The 16,414-nt window shown below is 38.7% G+C and overlaps 1 protein-coding gene across 14 annotated transcripts in view, besides 5 other annotated features; it reads left to right on the top strand.

The window, feature by feature from the left end:
• Positions 1-16,414, top strand: part of RPS6KA5 (ribosomal protein S6 kinase A5) — a 212,781-nt gene that overhangs the window by 37,029 nt on the left and 159,338 nt on the right. The gene's annotated exons all lie outside the window — the stretch shown is intronic.
• Positions 830-989: an enhancer, noted in NCBI's record as "active region_8889". NCBI's record gives its function as "activates an Ori minimal core promoter by ATAC-STARR-seq in GM12878 lymphoblastoid cells {active_cell/tissue: GM12878}" and the evidence as "EXISTENCE:reporter gene assay evidence [ECO:0000049][PMID:35858748]".
• Positions 1,070-1,189: an enhancer, noted in NCBI's record as "active region_8888". NCBI's record gives its function as "activates an Ori minimal core promoter by ATAC-STARR-seq in GM12878 lymphoblastoid cells {active_cell/tissue: GM12878}" and the evidence as "EXISTENCE:reporter gene assay evidence [ECO:0000049][PMID:35858748]".
• Positions 1,200-1,249: an enhancer, noted in NCBI's record as "active region_8887". NCBI's record gives its function as "activates an Ori minimal core promoter by ATAC-STARR-seq in GM12878 lymphoblastoid cells {active_cell/tissue: GM12878}" and the evidence as "EXISTENCE:reporter gene assay evidence [ECO:0000049][PMID:35858748]".
• Positions 13,755-13,964: an enhancer, noted in NCBI's record as "active region_8886". NCBI's record gives its function as "activates an Ori minimal core promoter by ATAC-STARR-seq in GM12878 lymphoblastoid cells {active_cell/tissue: GM12878}" and the evidence as "EXISTENCE:reporter gene assay evidence [ECO:0000049][PMID:35858748]".
• Positions 13,975-14,024: an enhancer, noted in NCBI's record as "active region_8885". NCBI's record gives its function as "activates an Ori minimal core promoter by ATAC-STARR-seq in GM12878 lymphoblastoid cells {active_cell/tissue: GM12878}" and the evidence as "EXISTENCE:reporter gene assay evidence [ECO:0000049][PMID:35858748]".

Genomic DNA, 16,414 nt, shown 5'->3' with positions numbered 1-16,414 from the left:
AAGATTAAGGCTATAAAACAAAGTTTGAGGTTGGGCACGGTGGCTCATGCCGGTAATCCCAGCACTTTGGGAGGCCGAGGTGGGTGGATCATGAGGTCAGAAGTTCAAGACCAGCCTGGCCAACGTGGTGAAACCCCATCTCTACTAAAAATACAAAAATTAGCCAGGCATGGTGGTGCACGCCTGTAGTCCTAGCTACTTGGGAGGCTGAGGCAGGAGAATCGCTTGAACCCAGGAGGCAGAGGTTGCAGTGAGGAGATCACACCATTGCAGTCCAGCCTGGGCAACAGAGTGAGACTCTGTCTCCAAAAAAAAAAAGAAAAAATTTGAGCACTCAAGAGCTCAGAGAATACCCTACACAGGTAGTCTCCCTGAGGATCTACTAGACAATGAATTTCATCCAAACAGATTGAGAAAACAACCTGATGGTGAGCACTTAATATACTTATTTGTAGAGCTGAGACTAAGGAACAAGGATGGGCCCATAGGTAGAAGAGTAGTACACAAATCTTTTTTTTTTTTTTTTTTTTAGATAGAGTTTTACTCTGTTGCCAGGCTGGAGTGCAGTGGCGTGATCTCACCTCACTACAACCTCCGCCTCCTCGGTTCAAGTGATTCTCCTGCCCCAGCCTCCTGAGTAGCTGGGATTACAGGCGTGCGCCACCATGCCCAGCTAATTTTTACATTTTTAGTAGAGATGGGGTTTCACCATGCTGGCTAAGCTGGTCTCGAACTCCTGACCTGGTGATCTGCCTGCCTCGGCCTCCCAAAGTGCTGGGATTACATGTGTGAGCAACCACGCCCGGACAGTAGTACACAAATCTTAAATTATATTGAATATATATTTGTAATTACATAAGTATGCAAGAGCATAAGTACATGTGCATACTTGTTCCCGATTTTAGTTTCAATTTCAATTTCACTTGAAGTCATAGCAAACATCTAGTTCCTTGAAATGTAACACACAGAAACAGAATCAGAAACCATGCAAACCATGTAAACATTTTCAAATTCAGGCATTTATTTCCAGTCTAAAAATGTGGTAGGAAACTGAGGTAGGACCTGAATTCTTAGATGCTCAACCTTTTTTTTCTGCTTTAACTGCCACCAACCATCCTCTAGTTGCTGCCACTCTGATATTTATTGGAAAGACACAGAGAAGTGAGCAGACAGGTTGTTTCATAAGTGGTTTAGTGATGGGTAGCAGACCAGGCTTTCATACTAGGTAGAGACATGGACATTATTGATATACTTCACATTCCATTGGATCCCCATTATAATATTTGGGTTTCACCATTCAATTTGATCATTATTCTTGTACATCATATTCTTGTTCTGAGTAAGTTGGCTATATGCTTTTTGGTTCATTTGGGATGACTTCAATCAGTAAACAAGTTTAAAGTCAGTTTCACATTCAAATAGTTTCCTGCATGAGGAAATTAAAAGCAAATGGTTACAAGTCAACTGAATAAGGCATTCCTTATAATATTATGAAACACGCATACCACATATGTATACAATATAAGTTCATGTACAGCATAAATATTTGTGCACCAGATTTAAATGTATATAAAATGACCTAAATATGCATAAATATATGATCTAAATATGTATGTCCTAGCTCTGTTCATGAAAGAGCCTAGAAGGCAAGGTACCTCAGTAGCAAGCAGCATACCTGATGCCCAGATCTTGGTTTCTATTAAGATTCCATAAGATCTTATTTCCCATTAAAAGGAATCAAGGCTACTTGTAAGAGAACAAATGAAGTTCTCAAAAATAGAAAGAGAGAAAGAAAAAGAAAAGTAAAGAAAGGGGGCATGTCAGGACACAGAGCCGGCTTTTGAAAGTGCTTCCAGTGACCAAATCTGGGACAACTTGTGCATTAAAATGATTAGGGAAAGGCTGGGTGTGGTGGCTCATGCCTGTAATCCCAGCACTTTGGGAGGCTGAGGTGGGCGGATCACCTGAGGTCAGGAGTTAGAGACCAGCCTGACCAGTATGATGAATCCCTGTCTCTACTAAAAATACAAAAATTAACCAGGCATGGTGGCATGTGTCTGTAATCCCAGCTACTCAGGAGGCTGAGGCAGGAGAATCGCGAGAACCACCATGCCTGGCTTATTTTTTTAAATTGAAATAGAGACGGATCTTACTGTGTTGCCCAGCCTGGTCTTGAACTCCTGGGCTCAAGCAATCCTCCTGCTTCAGCCTCCCAAAGTGCTGGGATTTCAGGTGTGAGTCATTGTGCCTGACCAAGAATGAGTATTAAAGCATTGAAAAAAATGGTGATTCATGAGTAGCCTAATAGATAGGTAGATATCTAAGCAGGAATAAGGGAGGTCTCTTCTCTGTGGTGCAATGCTGACTGATAAACTTGGAAGAAGTGGAAGAGTCAGAAAGTTACTCCATTGTAACCATTATAGTAAGGATTAGTTCAGGCAAGAATTGTCAGTGAATGCTCAATCTAGATAGGACATTTTGATGAAGAACAGCGTATTTTTCATGCCCTAAAATGTGTCCCTATGGATTGCTTTATTTCCCTATTGCTTTATCCACCTATACAGTGGATAAACTGGACATCACTTTAACTGGATGATAAATCTAATGTCATTAATGAGGGACAGACTGATGTTGTATGCTTCGGGTTTGGATACCTGCAAAGCACACATCACCTAAGTATTGAACATGCATAACCTGAATGATGATGAAGTGCCAGTGAAACAAAAAATTATATTTAAATAAAAAACAATATTCCTCAACAAAGTCAGTCCTAAAAGACAGAAATTGAGAAACTTCCAGATGAAATGAGACCTAAGAGACATGACAAAATAAAGGCAATATCTGATTATATACTTGATTATATACTGGATTTTATACTCAAGGAAAAAGTGCTGTAATAATGTATTAGGCTTCTCCAGAGACCAGGACCAATAGGATATATACATACACATACACATATAAACACACACACACACACACACACACACACACACACACAATAGGATATATACATACACATACACATATAAACACACACACACACACACACACACACACACACACACACACACACACACAGTCATTCCTTAGCATCCATAGGAGATTGGTTTCAGGATCCCCTATAGATACCAAAATCTGTGGATGCTCAAGTCCCTTATATAAATTGGCATAGTATTTGCATATAATCTATACATCCTCCTACATACCTTAAATCATCTCTACATTACTTTAAATACCTAATACAATGTAAATTGTATGTAAATTATTGTTATACTGTATTATTTCTTATTGTTGTATCATTATGTTTCATCACTTTTTTTGAATATTTTAAATCTATAATTGGTTGAATTCACAGATTTGGAACCCATGGACATGGAGGGCCATACACACACACGTGTACATGCACACACACACACACACACCCACATAAACACAAATGGTCATGTGCCACAGTGACATTTCAGTCAGTGATGGACTGCTATACAACAGTGGTCCCATTAGATTATAATACGGTGTTGTTACTGTAACTTTTCTATGTTTAGATGTGTTTAATTAGACAAATACTTGCCATTGTGCTCCAGTTGCCTATAGTATTCCTTACAGTCATATGCTGTACAGGGTTGTAGCCCAGGAGCAATAGGCTAGATCATCTAGCCTAGGTGTATAGTAGGCTGTACCATCTAGGTTTGAGTAAGCACATTCTATGGTGTTCATACAATGACAGAGTTGCTTAATGATGCATTTCTCAGACAATATCTCCATTGTTAAGTGATGCATGACTGTATGTACAGATGCTACTTGACTTACAATGAGGTTATGTTCCGATAACACCATTATAAGTTGAAAATATCCTAAGATGAAAATGTCTGGCTGAGTGGGAGCTATGGCTTACCGCTACTGCCAAGCATTGTGAGAGAAGTACCGTTTCTACTGTATGTGTATTACTTTTGCAGTGTTATGAAGTAAAAAAAACTGTAAATAGAATCATTGTAAGTAAAGGACTATGTGTGTGTGTATAAATATAAAAAGATTTATTATAAGGAATTGGCTCCTGTGATTATGGAGACTGGCAGGTCCAAACTCTGCATGGTGGCCAGGCAGGGTGGAGACCCAGGAAAGTTAGTGGTCCCATTTGAGTCTGGAGACCTTCTACTGTAGAATCAGGAAGAGCTAGTGTTGCATATAAAGTCTGAAGACTGTGCTGAAGAATTCTTTCTTGCTCAGGAGAGGACAGTCTTTTTGTTCTGTTAAGGCCTTCAACTGATTGGATGACACTCACCCACATTATAGAGGGCAATCTGCTTTACTCAAAGTCCACTGATTTAAATGTTAATCTCATCCAACAATCTCCCCACAGAAACACCCAGGATAGTGTTTGTTTGACCAAATATCTGGGTACCTCATGGCCCAGTCAAATTGACACATAAAATTAACTCCCACAAGTCTACCCCTTTTCAGCTCGGTACCCTTACACATCTCCTTAGGCCTTGCTTAATTTCCAAATAAAGTGAAAACACCGACATAAATCTGCCTAACATGATACAGCTATCCTGTGTACAAAAATGCACTGACCTTTTCCCTAGAAGAGGGTGCAAAACCTTTGGATAATGTGTATTCTTCTGCTTGATATCTTGTAATTTATATGCTATGATATCTAGTTAATACATCTTATGTTTCATGTTAAGAGGAAAAGAGAGGGTAGATGTGTTATAAGTCAGGGTTCTCCAGAGGAACAGAACTAATAGGCTATATGTATACATGATAGGGAGTTCATTAGGGAGAACTGGCACACACAATCACAAGGTGAAGTCCCACGATAGGCCGTCTTGCAAGCTGGGGAAGAAAGAAGCCAGTAGTAGTTCAGTCCAAGTCCAAAAGCCTCAAAAGCAGGGAAGCTGACTGTGCAGCCTTCAGTCTGTGGCTGAAGGCCTGAGAGCCCCCGGCAAACCACTGGTGTAAGTCCAAGAGTCCAAAGACCAAAGAACCTGGAGCCTTGATGTCCAAAGGCAGGAGGAACAGAAGGAAGAATCCAGCATAGGAGAAAGATGAAAGCCAGAAGATTCAGCAAGTCAGCTTACGCCACCTAATTCAGCCTGCTTTTGTTCTAGCCATGCTGGCAGCCGATTGGATGGTGGTGCCCACCCACATTGAGGGTAGGTCTTCTTCTCTCAGTCCACTGACTCAAATATCAGTCTCCTCTGGCAACACCCTCACAGACATACCCAGAAATAATATGTTGCTGGCTATCTAGGCAGCCTTCAATCCAATCAAGTTGACACCTGCTATTAACCATCACAGTAGAGAACAAAGACTTGATTAGTACATATATTAATATATAGACACAAATATTTTTTAAACAAAATAAGGAAATATTCATGACAACCATAGTCCCCATTTCTGTGTCCTAGCTGGTATTTATAACTATCTCCTTCCATTACTCATTCTGTATGCCTTTGCCTTCAGCCAGCACCTGAGATGTTTGTGGTTTTTTACCTGGGAGGTGACCCAAACCTTTATTCCTGAAGGTTCTGGGCCATTAGTATTGCTGCCTGAATTGCGTTGTTGTAGTTTTCTGTTGACTTTAATCACAAGGCATGGTAATACCAAGAGACATCCAAAGGAGATTGCCTGTATTTTAAGCATACTCTTCCTTACCTTTATTGTGGAGTAGCAGTTCAGGATCAGTCACCTGAGCCAACACTGTAACTCCCTCCTTTGCCTGGTGATACAAAGGCATAAGGAGCCCAAAGTGGCCATGTGGCAGTCTTAACTTCCAGTTCAGTGGAATCATTGTTGTGTCTCCTGGTGGAAACATCTTGCCCTTGGAACTAAGACTTCTAAGCCAGCAGAGTATACAGTTGTGGGAACAGGAAGCATACATTTTGCTAGTGGGCTACTAGGGTTAATAGTGAGTGGTGCCACTCAAATTTCCACCCCTTGATTCCTGAATCCATTAACTCTGGCTATGGGAGAAGTGGCACTATTTACTGGATGCTGATTCAGAGCATGTACAGCTTCTTGGAGAACCTTGCCCCAGCCCTGCAAGGAATTGGCATCCATCTGGTGCTGTACCTGAGTCTTCCAGAGGCCATTCCATCAAGCCACCTGCTTCAGGATGGTGGAGAACATGGTAAGACCAGTGAATTCCATGAGTGTGGGCCTACTGTCACACTTCATTTGCTGTGAAGTTAGCTCCTTGATCACAGGCAATGCTGTGTGGAATATCATTACAGTGAATAAGGCTTTTTGTAATACCATGGATGGTAGTTGTGACAGAAATATTGTGTGCAGGGAAGGCAAATCTGTATCCAGAGTAAGTGTCTGTTACAGCAAGAACAAAACACTGCCCCTTCCATGATAAAAGCAGTTCAGTGTTATCAACCTGGCATGGTAGCTTGGCTTACTATTGTCAGCAATGATGCCATATATCGAGACCTAGTATTGGTCTCTGCTGCTGGCAGATTGGCACTCAGCATCAGCTGTAGCCAGATCAGCCTTGGTGAGTAGAAGTCCATGTTGCTGAGCCCATGCGTAACCACCATCTCTGCTACCATGGCCACTTTGTTCATGAGCCCACTGGGTGATGACAGTAGATAGGATGACAGGTGGGAAAGAGACTGGCTGGTATCCACAGAACAGGTCATCCTATCTACTTGATTATTAATATCCTTCTCTGCTGAGGTCATCCTTTGGTGGGCATTGACATAGGAGAATACAAATACCTTCAGTTTTTTTTTTTTTTTTTTGCCTGTTTAGAGAGCTCTAGCCAAATACCTCTTCCTTACACTTTCTTGTCATCGATTTTCCAATCATGTTCCTTCTAAGTCCCTGACCATCCAACCAAACTATTGGTGATAGTCCATAAGTTGATATGTAATCCGATGTCTGGTCGTTTTTCCTTCAAGCAAAGCGAAGAACCGAGTGTATACCACTTTCATTTGATGGTGGAATGCTGCTGTGCATCCCTCACTTTATCGAGGGAGTCTGCCTAAAGCCCAGTGATTTAAATATTGATCTTATCCAAAAAAACTCACAGAAACACACAACACACACATAACTAAATATCTGGGTACCCTAGAACCAAAAAAGTAGTATGTAGTATGTATGAGTGTATTAATAAGATAGAAAAATATGACAGAATGTTAAAAATTGGTGATTATGAACAAAGGGTTATTTTGAATAAGCAAAAAGATTATGAATATGACAGTTGTCTTATTTTGGCAACTTTGCATTTTAAATCATTTAAAAATAAAATTAAAAAAATTAATTGACCACTTGGGAGGCTGAGGCAGGAGGATCTCTTGAGCCCAGGAGTTCAAGGCCAGCGTGGGCAATGTAGTAAGACCCCGTCTCTAAAGAAAAGAAAAAAAAAATTAGTTTACCAGTGAGCACTGTAGTTGTGTTTATAGGCACTAAATGTCTGACTTTTATATGACAACATAATTGTGCTGATACCCTTGCCATAAAATTAGAAGCATTAATTGCTTAACTTCGTTTCAGGGGAGTGGGTTACACACTTCATGTTTGAAATGAGAGCAGGAGGGGACACCAGGGCTGCACACTGCTCTAGCTCTCTAGTGCCTCTAAGTCCCACCACAGCACCCCTGGACTTTTTTCTTCTACATTCAGAATTGGGGTTGGAGGGCAGTTGTGGTTGATTAAACAGTTAGAATGAGGTAAGAAAGGAAAGCTGAATGAAGGCTGGGACAAGACAAGGTGAATCTAGTTTCTTTGGTCACCAGTTTTCATAGTATTAGATTATATAGCTCACTGAGTTAACATTTTTTTAAAAAGTAGGATTATTCTTGAAAAATGAGTTGGCTGTAGTCCTATGAAAGTTTATTGCTGTAAGAACAAGTTATTACAAACTGTTATTTGATGTAAGGCTGCCACATTTCTGTGCTAATAGAAACCAAATTGGCACTGTTAGCAGCATGTAGTCTGGAAAACAGAAAAAGGAAAAGGTGTTGATAAAGTACTTTCTCACAATAGAATTACGTGTAGAAGTGACAGTAGAACTGCAGTGGAAAAATGAGGTTATGACTTAGGAGGAACAAAGTGCTGCTATATTTTCTTACATCAAATTGAAATCTTATCCTTGGAAATAGTACTTTGGACTATAAGAAACTATATCTTGTATGAAAAGTGTAATTCAAAACATAATAAACAAAATAAATTTGGTAGCACTTTGGAAGCTGGAATGTTTGCCTTGCTGTAATGGTTTAATTTTTTTTTTAATCATTCACAAGTTATCAAATTTTTGCTTGCAAAAATACTGAAGCAAGACTTCTATTGTAAATGAAGGTATACCTTAATTTGAGGATAAGGAATGCTGTGCTGAGTGTAGATAGAATGTATCTGTTCTTTATATGTCTAGATTCGGGTTCCAGGTGTGATTGTCTCCAACCTGTCAAATAGTTAATGGTTTATAAACTAACACTTGAGGGAACTAGCTTTTGAAAGTAAATCTTAAAAACCTCTGTGCAATCCTTTTGATTTACTCTGTTGCTCCCTAAATCTTTTTCTTCACATTTTTGTGTATATTAAGTTCAGACATACGACATGGTCAGGAAATGAAGTATTTGAATTAACCATTCTTTTAATTAAACTATTTGTTTTATAATAATAGTACATTTTCAAATAATTTGACTACAACAAATTAGTGTTCCTTGGCATCTTCATTTGGAAATCCCATAGATACTTCATATACTTTTAAAACATTTTATAAAGTTTATGGTCATCAAATATAAACTATAAAGCTGCATATGAAAAAATAATGTGCTATTAAATCACATTATTAAAGCAAATATGTAAAAACTTGAAATATTTAACAATAGTGCATTAATACATGTTTTTTATAAAAATAAGGGATTTTTTTAGAGGATGTAGTATAAGATGTATCAAAAATATGTGCGTTTAGAAAAATAAGCCTTAGGAACTTTATATCGCTATTTAGAAATAAGCAGTTTTTCTAATAAGTAAGGATTAACTTTGATAAGTAAATAATATGCTTGCAAAATTATAACCAAATAAACATTAAGAAAATCCTGATTGAGTCTGAAAATTTCTTTATAATACTCATTTTTTTTGTTTTTTGTTTTTTTTTTTTTTGAGATGGAGTCTATCTCAATTCCCCAGGCTGGAGTGCAGTGGTGTGATCTCGGCTCACTGCAACCTCTGCCTCCCGGGTTCAAGCGATTCTCCTGCCTCAGCCTCCCGAGTAGCTGGGACTACAGGTGCACGCCACCATGCCCAGCTAATTTTTGTATTTTAAATAGAGACCAGGGTTTCACCGTGTTGGCTAGGATGGTCTCGACCTCTTGACCTCGTGATCCGGCTGCCTTGGCCTCCCAAAGTGCTGTGATTACAGGCGTGAGCCACCGTACCCCGGCCTTATAATACTCATGTTTTAAAAATACATTCATGTTTTTTACTTTAAAGCCCTAATTTTTTCTTTTGAGTTATAATTTGCATGCAATAAAGTTCACTCTTTTTGGCATATGGTTCTGTGAGTTTTAACAGATGCTAACAGTTCATGCACAACATTTGGAAAGTTGATCTTATTTTTTATCCCTAGTACTTTATGACGTCGTGGTCACCAGGATTATCATTGTGAACTTTAATGATTGCACTGCAACTATTCAGAATAGATTAATTTTAGTACTTTCCAATGTTTTCTCTTTGTGCTGAGTAGAATTAGTGAATACATATTGAGGAATTTACGTCTTCCTCCCTTTCCCTACCTTCAGTGGCTTAGTGTAGCCTTTATGAATTTTGGCCTTGACTGTTGTTTCAACCTGTACATTGGCTTCACTGTTTTCCATCTCAATTCCTTTCTAGTTTGTTTTCCACGCTGCTGCTGCTGCTGGTCTTTCTAAGATGCAGAACTGATAATCTTCTCCTTAAAATCTTTTATTGCCTCTCCTTTGCCTTCTTTAGATGGGAAGAAATAAAATACTACTTTTTCATATCAAACACAGATTCTTTTGTGAGCTGGCTCCTGCCTGGTGTCTTGCAGTGCCTTTTTTCCCTTTCCTTCCCATGCATCTGCCTGTCTGCACTAATTGCAGATTCTCAGATATGCCATGTTCTCTGTTGTTTTGGTGGTTTTCTGTATGCTTTTCCTTCCTACTCACAGCTTTTTTTTTTACCCTGCTGTTCCTTAGCTGCCTAACTTCTCCAAACCTTCAGATGGGCTGAGATGCTCTCTTATGCTCTTCTGGTACTATTTACCTCATTTCTCTTTAATAGTGCTTGTTCCTTGGACTTGGTCACCTGCCTGAGTGTCCCCTCTGGACCCTGAGCTGCTTGGGGTCAGGGAGTATGTCTGTTCCAGTCTTGTCAGTGCTTTGCACAATGTTGGATATAAGTAAGCATTCAAGATGTTTGTTCAATTAATATACTATAGCTTACATGTAGAGTCTGGTGACTACGTGAAACCTATGAAATAGGGAAAGAGAAGAAAAATGTCTTATGGCATCAGTGGACACCAGAATTCCTTATATGAAGGGAGGTACACTGGGGGCATTGCCTTGACATCAAGCTCACTTAAGGATAGGGAGTCCTGTGAGGATGGATGTTCACAGGGTCTGAGAGGTCAGAAGAAGTAGAGCAAACAAGGGGATGGGATTGCTGGTCTTATTCCTAATAGGGAAGAGGAGAGAGAAAACAAGTCAGAAAAGTGATGTAAGGTCAGGGATAGGTGAGATAAAGATCCCCTTCCCCACGGTTGGATGATGGAAAGACAGATTGAGAAGGTTCCTTCCTCCAGCTCCTTTTGAGGGGGTTGTTTTAACTGTTGCCTGGTGTACCACTCTTTTGCCTAGCTTCAGAAATCTTCACTGAAGTCTGGTATGCTAAGGAATGCTTTTTGAACATGTTTGGTTTTTGTTTATCTTGTGTAGAAGTTGGTGAGCTGTGTCCTCACTGGATTATTGCAGTGCATAAAAGCGTTGGTGACCAAGTAGCTCTAAGAGTTCTGAGAAGGTCAGCTCTCCCAGTAATTGAGGGAAACCTGGGCAGACAGGGGAGGCTTTGGACTTGCACAGGCCTTGGCACTGCAGATTTGAGTATTGAGTGTAGATTATAAGGGGCTGGTAAGCCCAATGTAACAACTAGAGTACACATACAACAAGAAAAGACTGGAATTGAACATATAAAAATGAGAGTAGCTAGTGTTCGGAAGATAGGATTACCATATATAGTTGTTTTTTTCCCCTGAAGACTTTCTTTGTCATAGTTCATAACATAGGAACAGTTTTAAAAAGACAAAAATATGTGCAATACAGTGTCATGATCTTATTCATACCAGAACTTGAAAATTAGAGGTTAGTATTGAGATTTCATTAATACCAAAAGTGTTGGAACGGAGAAAGTGAAACTGTTTATTGAGGAATAGGGAATAAGGGCTAGGACTGAAACTCCTTTCTTTGCCAAAAGTAGGAACTTTCTTACTAACATATTAGGCTTTGTTTCCCTCTTTTTTGTTTTAATTGATGAACTGATGTCTCAAAGAAAAAAAAATCTGTCAAGTAACTGAAAATTGGATAAGGTTTTGAACAAAATTTAAGTTTTAGAAATTGATGTTCTGTAGATCATTTATAATAAATTATGGCTTATTTAAGTTTAGCTGCAACAAACGATACGTTTCTATCCTTTCTGTTGCATTCACTACTAAATCTTACAATGTTACTTTTTATAATTGTTCTCCTTTTTTTCTGAAATAAAAAAATTAGAAAATAATTGAGTAGGCCATGGTTTACTTACTGCAGTATTATGTATATATTGCTGTTAATTAAATGTGCCTTGATAGTGGCAAATAGGAGTCATTCAACACTGGATCATTATGCTATTCGTCTTTTCATATTTTGATTTCATGCTTACAGCTATAGTTATAAGCAAAGGACGGAAGGACTCAATTGGTACCTTTCCATGGTGAGAATGGAATTAGAAAAAAGGAATTGGTCAAGTGGTCTAATAAGACAGTAAAGCTTGAGAGCATGATACAGCAATTTCCATGATAGGGAACCTGATGTTTGAATTGACAGGTTAGATTGTCCCATGGATAGTGCTAGAAACACATTGCCCAATTTAGAATTCTGTTTTTTAGTTTTCTTTTCTTTTTTTTTGGGACAGAGTTTTACTCTGTCTTCAAGCTGGAGTGCAGTGGCGCGATCTCAGCTCAGTGCAACCTCTGCCTCCCAGGTTCAAGCGATTCTTCTGCCTCAGCCCCCTGAGTAGCTGGGACTACAGGCGCCTGCCACCACACCTGACTAATTTTTGTGTTTTTAGTAGAGACGGGGTTTCACCATGTTGGCCAGGATGGTCTCGATCTCTTGACCTCGTGATCCACCCGCCTCGGCCTCCCAAAGTGCTTGGATTACAGGCATGAGCCACCGTGCCTGGCCTGTTTTTTAGTTTCCATTTTGTCCAGTCTATCTTTTGTTGTCCATTCTTTTATACATTTTTGTTCTTTTGATTAGGAAAGTTCAAGTTCTTCTGATCTGCATACAGTGATTTGTATTTCGTAAGGTGACTTTGCATAGATCTCATTTCATCTTCTGAGGTGTGTTTTTGGCCAAGCTGACTGCTGAGGCATTCTATTGTTGCTCCAGGGTACTGCTTCTCTGGTACTTCCTTCAGAGACCATTTGTGTTGGTGAGAAAGCCTATGGTTTGTTTTTTTCCTGCCCTTGACACCTTAACATATCCTTCTCTCTGTTCTTGAATTCTTGAGTCTCTTCTGTCCCGGATCCCATTATTTATCACTGCGTGAAGAACCTGCTCCCTTAGGAACCACCCTCCCATCTCTACTTTTTCTAGCCTTTCCTACATTCCATTTTCCCATGGGTTTTCTCTGTCATCTGTCTTAAGTTGGAAAAAAGTTTCATATGATTCTTTCCCATTTCCCCTGTATTCCTTTTCATTATACCCTCATTCCTTGAACAGAATTGTTATTGTTTTGTTTTTCCATCCACACCCCTATAATGCAACCTTCCTGTGTAAATTTTAGGCTTAAGCTTTTCTATTCACATACTTTTATGCTGAGGCTTGGATTTTTATTTGGGCTGTTAGATGCCCATTTTGACATTGACATTAGGGGTTTCAAACCATCCTTAAAAGGTTAGATGTGACTTGCAATGTTATTGAACAATTTGATGATCCGGGATATTATGGCTCTATGAAATCTCCATGGTTCTTGGAGCTAGCTTGTTTTTATTCTGGGAAGAATTTTCTAGCTCCCCAGCTTACGGCCTGAATGGTTAGAGTCCAGCCAGTGCTGTTTGACTTTATAGTTCAAAGGGGGTCATTTCTGTGGTCACTATCCTATTTAACAGTCATGTCATGGTATGTCAAGGTAGGTCATCATACAAATAATCTGCATTCTGTTTTGACTGTTTTATTTTTAAAAATAATATCTCCTCCTTTTAAACTTTAAAAAATTTAGTAAAGTTTAGTAAACTTTCAAAAATTTAGTAAAAAATGTAGTAAAAATTCACTTCCTTCATTATGCTTTTTGAAATCTGGCTTTTTTTCTCATTCTTCCCCTATTAATGGTTCTTAAAAAAAAAAAAAAATCGCTGTTGACCTAACCAAATTAGAGTGTCTCAGTCTTCATGCACTTCCACCTTCTTGCTGCATTTGACTGCATTGATACTTCTTTTTTGATGTTCTTTCTTTGAATTTCATACATGGTTAGTTGAACCACTTCTCTGGCTCTTTTTCTTCTTGCCTCATAACTCTAGGTAATCATCAAGACTTGCCTTTCCTTTCCTGTGGTCTCTTGAAGGGCGTTCGTCTTAAAGCTTTAGCCATTGCCTTTCTCCTAGTAACTCTGTGCATGATGTCTCTGCAGAACTTTAGTTCCTTGTCTAGAGCTGCCTACATGAAAGCTCTTTTGGGGTTTTTTTCTGCCATTCTTCAAAATCAGTGTTGAAACCAAAAAACTTCCCCTTTTGACTTCCTTATTCTGTTGGTAACACTGCCATTCACCAGACTTGCATTTCTTATGCTTTAGATATAGGGCTGTCTTAGTCTGTTCAGGCTACAATAATTAAAATACCTTAGACATGGCCAGGCATCATGCCTGTAATTCCAGCACTTTAGGAAGCCAAGGAGGGAGGGTTGCATGAGCCAGGAGTTTGAGACCAGCTTGGGCAACATAGTGAGACTCGGTCTCTATTAAAAGAAAAAGCCCAGCAACCTTGGATTAGGTAATTTATAAACAACAGAAATTTATTTTTCACAGTTCTAGGCACCAGGAGGTTCAGTGTCTGGTGAGGGCTCTCTGCTTCATAGATGATGTTTTCTAGCTGTGTCCTCACATGGTGGAAGGGGCCAGCAGGCTCGCTCTAGCCTCTTTTATAAGAGCACTAATCCCATCCATGAGGGCTCTGCCCTAGTGACCTAATCACTTTCCAGTGGCCCCACCTCTTAATGTCAACACACTGGGGATTAGATTTCAACATACAATTTTGAGGAGAAACATTCACACCATAGCAGGGGCCAATAGGGAAAAAAATGGAACAGAAATTGAGTTAATTTATCTTTGAAAGTGAGGACCCTGTCCTGTGCCTTTTGTAGTTTCAGCACCCAAGACAGGTATTCAATGAATGTTTCTTAAACTGAGCATTACAGTGATTCTTGGGTTCACTCTTTCCTCTAGTTTTTACTCAGACCAGACCCTCATTAGTACACATCTTTTTTACTGCAATACCTCATTGTTTTTTAGCAATCATTTTTCCTTGCTTCTATGCACATTGTACATTACTGCCAGGAGAATTTTTCTAAAACATTACTTTTATGTAGTGAAGAGCCATTATTACTTACGGATTCAATTAAAACTAGTTAGTCTGGCATTCCAGGTTTTGAGCCAGCTAGTTCCATATACCTATTTTATGTTATGTTTTTCTCACATAAATTCATTATAGCTAGTTAGAACAGTCTTTTTATTATTCTCTCGTAGTAACATAGTTATTTCTACTTATACCTTTGCCCCAGCTGTTCTTCCAGTACAGAATTTCCCAGCCATCCTCTCATTTTTTTGCCAGTACAAATCCTGTACTTCTTAGCTAAAGACCTAACACGTAGCCCAGAACGTTGGCCTTTAGTAGGCACTCTTGACTGTTGAGTAAATGGGGACCTGTATTCTCAATGAGCTTTTCTAACCAGCTTCACATGATATTCTCCTTCATGTCCACATACTCCACAGGCCTGTTTATTAACTTACATTTCTCATATCTTATTTCAAGTTTAATAAATGATTAATTCATTGAATAAAATCTGGCATATGAGTGCCTTAGCATATACTGTGAAATGTATTTGAAATGGCTTCAAAAGCATTATTGTTCTCTTTATTTCTACCTTAATTGTAAAAGTGCTTTTAAATTAAGCCTTTAACATAAGTGAATCATTGGATCTAATCAAATGATTTCAGCACATGCTCTGTGCAATTACATTTGTGCAGCTTAGCTGAAACTATGGCAACAGAGTGAAAAATGCATTTTTACCGATCATTTTCCTCCATAGGAGTGGGAAGTTCCAAGTTAAACATCTCACAACTTTAAAAAATTATTATACAAATTATACTTACAATAGCATTGCTTAGAAAGTTAGGAAGCCATTTATCAATCATAGGTTTGTGGCTGAAATCCTGGAAGACCATGCCAAGGGTTAACAATAGTTACCTTTGAGTGTTGGGATTATGGGAGATTTTTAAGGTCTGCTTTAGGCCTATTTTTTCAAAAAACAGTGAACCTGGATAATTTTATGAAGAAAACAACAACAAAGTTATTTAAATCTGAAGGAAAAGACAATTTTCCTTTTATCCTTAAGTTTACTGTTTTTAAAATTACATCAATCACCACCTCATATCTACTAGGATGGCTACTACCAAAAAAAAAAACAAAATAGTAAGTATTGGACAGAATGTGGAGAAATTGGAACCCTCTTGCACTGTTGATGGGAATGTGAAAAGGTACCTGTGAGGGGATTTCACAAAATTCATGGAAAAAATGGTTAAAATTGCTTTGTGAGAGCATTAAAACTATTTACACCTCTTTTTCCCTAAATGATTAAACTTAAGGCATTAATATAAAAAAATTCTAAGAGCTTTTGAGAGGAGCATGGTTTAAGCTGATTCACAACAGAGATAAGCCTGAAGTAGACCTTGAAAAGATTTAAAATATTTATTGATTTAGTCCAAATTTACTAATATTTAACAACTCATGTGGTCATCAGAATTGACACCAGAAACAAATAACTGATATGGTCGTACTCCTGTGTACCAGTTGATTAGCTCTATTCTAAGTTTTTAGTTTGTTGATACTCTTTGTTGTTTTGTATATTTGTCAAAAGTTTTCATAAGGCATTCTTTCTATGGGAAGGAGTTAATATTTTTCTAAGTTAGGATTTAG

This window comes from Homo sapiens, chromosome 14 (genome assembly GCF_000001405.40).
Source record: "Homo sapiens chromosome 14, GRCh38.p14 Primary Assembly".
Taxonomy (NCBI): Eukaryota; Metazoa; Chordata; class Mammalia; order Primates; family Hominidae; genus Homo; species Homo sapiens.
The sequence above is the reverse complement of the archived record's forward strand: the minus strand, read 5'-3'. Positions and strand labels throughout refer to the sequence as shown.